The 5,235-nt window shown below is 34.7% G+C and overlaps 1 annotated feature.

The window, feature by feature from the left end:
- Window positions 3,749-3,808: an enhancer, noted in NCBI's record as "active region_19659". NCBI's record gives its function as "activates an Ori minimal core promoter by ATAC-STARR-seq in GM12878 lymphoblastoid cells {active_cell/tissue: GM12878}" and the evidence as "EXISTENCE:reporter gene assay evidence [ECO:0000049][PMID:35858748]".

Raw genomic sequence — 5,235 nt, 5'->3', positions numbered from 1 at the left:
GATTTGTTATGCAACAATAGCTAACTAATACAAAAGGCATGGGTTTTGAAATCTGCCATTGAAGATTTCACAGAAACCCCATGAAGTAGGGGTTTCTGCTCTGCATGAATGTAACTGATGGAATACTGTTGGACACTTTCATATGTATATTGAACCAGATTTTTCTGTTGTGAGATAATCACATATTATCTCTGACTCAGAAAGGACTGATAATTAAGTACAGGAGTCAGATAGATTTGGCTTGATTACATAGCTCAAACTGTGTTCCTATTTAAAAACTAAACCTCCAGATTACTATAAAGGATGGTGAGATCCTCACAATTATCACGCATATGCACACACATGCACACACACACAATTGCACATATGCAAAAACACTTTCATTTCTTATTCTTTCATAAAATCCTCGAGCCCTCCCTAGATACATCTATAGAGTTGCAAAGTGAGGGTTTTGAATTATAATATGTAGTAGCAAAATAAAAGCTGGAGGGTAAGGAAAATATGATTTAAGCCTTGCTGTCATTCTGTGAATCACAATTCTATCATATCACAAACTTTCTTATTGTCTTCAGCTTGTTGTATGTTACCATGTTTAATAAGATAATGCCTACAAAAACCAGTTTCTTCCCCAGAGAAATGTTCTCTTTTTAGATGTTTTATACAAGAAGTGTTACATGTTTTTCAACCCCCATTGTCCTCTCTCTCCCTTCCTCCTTTCTTCTCATCCTGCCCCCTTTCCTTAATTTTTCTTTTATTTTTCTTTTTAATGCAAATTGTCCATTGTGATTATAAAGGAACAGCTTTGCTGATTGCCTATGTTCTTCTGTTTTGAATAAGGTTGCTCTTTTGATGAAGCCTAATTTTTTTAAATTAGTCCTTAATCAGAAAGAAAGAACAAGAAAGTCATGAGCAATACCTTCCAGTCAGCAATTCTACATCTAATCAAAGAAACACTGAGTAGAAGGCAGGTCATGAAGAAAAAAAAAAGACCAAAAGATTTAGAGGGAAAGATAAAAATCAAGTCCACTTTCTGGCCCAATCTAGGAAATAATAAACATTCCAAAGGGTATAAGATTTATATGAAAGATAATCTTAGAAATATAAATGAGAAGAATATCATAACATAGAAAGCTTAATAACTATAAAAGACACTTTATTTTTACTAGTGAAGAAAACTATTTGCAAAGTTTCTCTGCTATTTTTCCTTTTAAAATTACTGTAAAAATAAAGTACTGCAAATATTTTGTAATTCAATGTGTACTGATAAAATTAAACAAGATTTAAAAACTTGCCTCCCTTCTCTCTCCAATCTATTTTTACTCCCTAAGAGTAAACAATCATTTCATGTGATCAATGCCATAACTGAATGTGGAATTTCTTTTCATTGTCCTTCTTGGTTGATCTGTTGGATCTCTGAGTTGGATCCTTCATATTATCTACTCTCTTTTCTTCATCTTCATTTTTCTTTGTTTTGTTTCACTGTAGCTTACTTATTTTTTTTTCCAAGAAAGCTAATTAAAATTAAACTTATGAGCCCCTATCTGAGTAAGTTTTTATTTTGCTCTTACACATTTTTTTTTTTTAGTTTGGCTGCATATAGAAATCTTAGCTAACAATATTTATCCCCTAAGGAGTTCAAAGACATTGCTGCATTTTTGTCTAGCTCAAGCAGTCTTACTATTGGTGTATCTAATATAAGATCACTTAATTTGAATTTCTGAAATTTCATGAGGATATATTTAGGCATGAATCACTTTCATTTTTGTTCACTGCTTTGTGTGTCTTCTGTAATCTAAGGCCTCCTGTCTTTCTTAGCCTTTGGGAAATTTTCTTATATTATTATTTGATTATTTTCTCTCTTCTGTTTTCTGGGATTTTTTTTTGGAGATCCTATATTGAATCTTAATTTCCATTAATTTTCCTCACATATTTTTCACTCCTTGTTCTCTATGTTCAATAATTTTCTTAGTGTTTTCTGCTACTGGTTATCTTTTGTTATTTAAGTTTGTTGTTTAAGTGATTATATTTTTAATTTTCTTTTTTTATATATTTTTATTATACTTTAAGTTCTACAGTACATGTGCACAACATGCAGGTTTGTTACATATGTATACATGTGCCATGTTGGTGTGCTGCACCCATTAACTCGTCATTTAACATTAGGTATATCCCCTAATGCTATCCCTCCCCGCTCCTCCTACCCCACAACAGGCCCGGTATGTGATGTTCCCCTTCCTGTGTCCAGGTGTTCTCATTGTTCAATTCCCACCTATGAGTGAGAACATGTGGTGTTTGGTTTTTTGTCCTTGCGATAGTTTGCTGAGAATGATGGTTTCCAGCTTCATCCATGTCCCTACAAAGGACATGAACTCATCCTTTTTATGGCTGCATAGTATTCCATGGTGTATATGTACCACATTTTCTTAATCCAGTCTATCATTGTTGGACATTTGGGTTTGTTCCAAGACTTTGCTATTGTGAATAGTGCCACAATAAACATACGTATACATGTGTCTTTATAGCAGCATGATTTATAATCCTTTGAGTGTATACCCAGTAATGGGATGGCTGGGTCAAATGGTATTTCTAGTTCTAGATCCCTGAGGAATCACCACACTGTCTTCCACAATGGTTGAACTAGTTTCCAGTCCCACCAACAGTGTAAAAGTGTTCTTATTTCTCCACATCCTCTCCAGCACCTGCTGTTTCCTGACTTTTTAATGATCGCCATTCTAACTGGTGTGAGATGGTATCTCAATGTGGTTTTGATTTGCATTTCTCTGATGGCCAGTGATGATGAGCATTTTTTCATGTGTCTGTTGGCTGCATAAATGTCTTCTTTCGAGAAGTGTCTGTTCATATCCTTCTCTCAATAAATTAGGTATTGATGGGACATATTTTTAATTTTCAATAGCTATTTCTTCTGTGATTCTTCCATTTTAATGGCAATCTGATCTTGTTTTATTGATATAATACTTTCCTTGATAATTTCGGTCTACTAATTAGAATGTAGTTTTTAAAAACCTTTGATTTCAAAAGTCGCTGCTGGTAGGTTGTACCAACAGTCTATCTTTGTTTTTCTCTCTGTTCTTTGTTTTCTTTAACTATTTCATGCAACAAGAGCATATGATGGGGACAGATTTAGTATCCCCACATGACCCTTTCACTGGAATGCAAGAACTGGTTACAAGTTCTATGCATACTAGTTCACTATTGGGGATTGGAGGAAGAAACAGGCAGGCTACCTGTTTCCAAAAGTAAGCAAAGTGTATCTTCTTCTAAGTTGTTGTAAAAGTCTATTGCTTTGACTCATGGGATGCCAGTAAACTTGAAGTGAGCAAGACTTGTTCAGGCCTTGAAATCAGGGTTTGTGCATGAGAAATGATCTCCCTGAGAAGCCAGATGTGAAAGATTTTGGAATAAACTACTGAATGATGGCAGACACTAAAGAGAGAGAGGAAAAGAGAGAGAGAGAGACCACATGGAGGAACACTAAAGCCTTACAGCTCAGACCAACTGCCAGCTGAATGCAGCTGAGTGAGCCATCTCAGCTGGTGTCATGTGTAGGAGAACCACACGGCTGAGCCCTGCTCTAATTCCTGACGTACAGACTCAAGAGAAATAATAACAAATAAATCACTGTTTTCAGTCATTGCAATATGAGGGAATTTGTTCCAGGGACAATTTTCTATCATCATTCTGGCAGCTTTAATTTCCCACAGGAAGATTATCTTATTTGTTTGTAGAGAGCTCCCTCGATTTCATTCTGGGGGTGAAATGAGCTGTATCAGTCACTCTTCATACACAAGAGTAGGAAAAGAAAGGGATATGGTGACACATATTTGTTCTATAAATGGTTCTAAAATTAACCTAAAGTTCTATTTCTGTCCCTCACGTTTCCACTCTCTCAATCTCAGTTCTTCAAATTTGAACTTCTTTGTTCAGAGAGAAACATTTCTCATCTTTAGCCGTTTCCCAAGGACACTATTTCCTGTTTCTCTCTGCTTTAGTTTGTCCATTAATCCATTTCTATCCATTTGTTATCTTTAGAAATATGTCTAAATTCTCAGTGCTGACAAGGACATAAACCTTTTCTCTCTTCTCAGTGTGGTTTTCATTCTATCAGCTTAAATAGAAGACATTCTTTGACTACAAATATATGATCATTGTTATTTACCATATCTTTAACATTGAAATTACATGAGATGATAGATATATCAAGAAAGTCCCTGATCCTAGCACATTTTATTGTTCTAACAGACAGTTACATCTAGAATAACAAATATATAGCTGTGGTATCTTCTCATGCCATGCACTATGATTTGTTCCTTTGTTTATTGCATGAATGCATGAGCATGCTAAGAATTTTAAAAAGTCTACCAGAGATATCTTTTTTCATTACCCACCATAAAATTTTAAATATGCTTTAAGTTGATTCAGGATCCAATGCTTTTCTTCTTCTTCTTCTTCTTATTTTACACAGTAATAGAAGTTTTTCTTTCTTTTTGCTTCTGGGAGATTACCTCCAGGTCTTTTCTCCAGTTGCCTGAAATAATTGGATTAGGAGCCCTCTGGATGACAAGGCTAGGTGATAAATTTTATTTAGGTTTTAGATTAGAGAAGTTGTTAGATTTTGGGTTAGGAAAAGTGATAATACTAGTAACGTCTATTCAATCTTTGTGGGGCCTCACCTTTAACTTTCCTCACCAACCTCATTTTCAGCTCTCCTTCTCATATATTCCATTTACCAAACTGGACTATGCTTCATCTTTAAAAGATATATAATGCCTTCACGCCCTCATGTCTTTACTCAGGAGATCTTTCCCATCTGAAAAGCACTTTCTATCCTATCCTTCCCTGTAAAAACCCTCCTTGACCACCTAAAATGCTGCTGTATTCAGTAAGCCTATACCACTGTCAATTGAATTTTATTTATTTCTCTTCTGAATAATCAGTTATAACAGAGTGTTGATCACCTTTTATAGTTTATTGCTTAGAGATATTTTTGGTTTGTATTTTTTCACTAAAATATGTGTGATAATTTCCATTTCTAATGTCTTTTCTGGTCTGTTTCCATCACCTTTTATCATAGTAGCTTCTTCCTTTCTTTGCTTTGATGCCTTCATGGTGTGATGCTTATTATATTTTGTAGAATTATATTTATAAATAATATCAGGTGATGGATGAATAGGTACTCCTCTGCAGATGATTTATACTTGATTTTCTCACATACCT

The sequence above is a fragment of the Homo sapiens genome, chromosome 3 (assembly GCF_000001405.40).
Source record: "Homo sapiens chromosome 3, GRCh38.p14 Primary Assembly".
NCBI classification, from domain to species: domain Eukaryota; kingdom Metazoa; phylum Chordata; class Mammalia; order Primates; family Hominidae; genus Homo; species Homo sapiens.
Note: the sequence above shows the minus strand (reverse complement) of the source record. Positions and strands in the feature narration are given on the sequence as shown.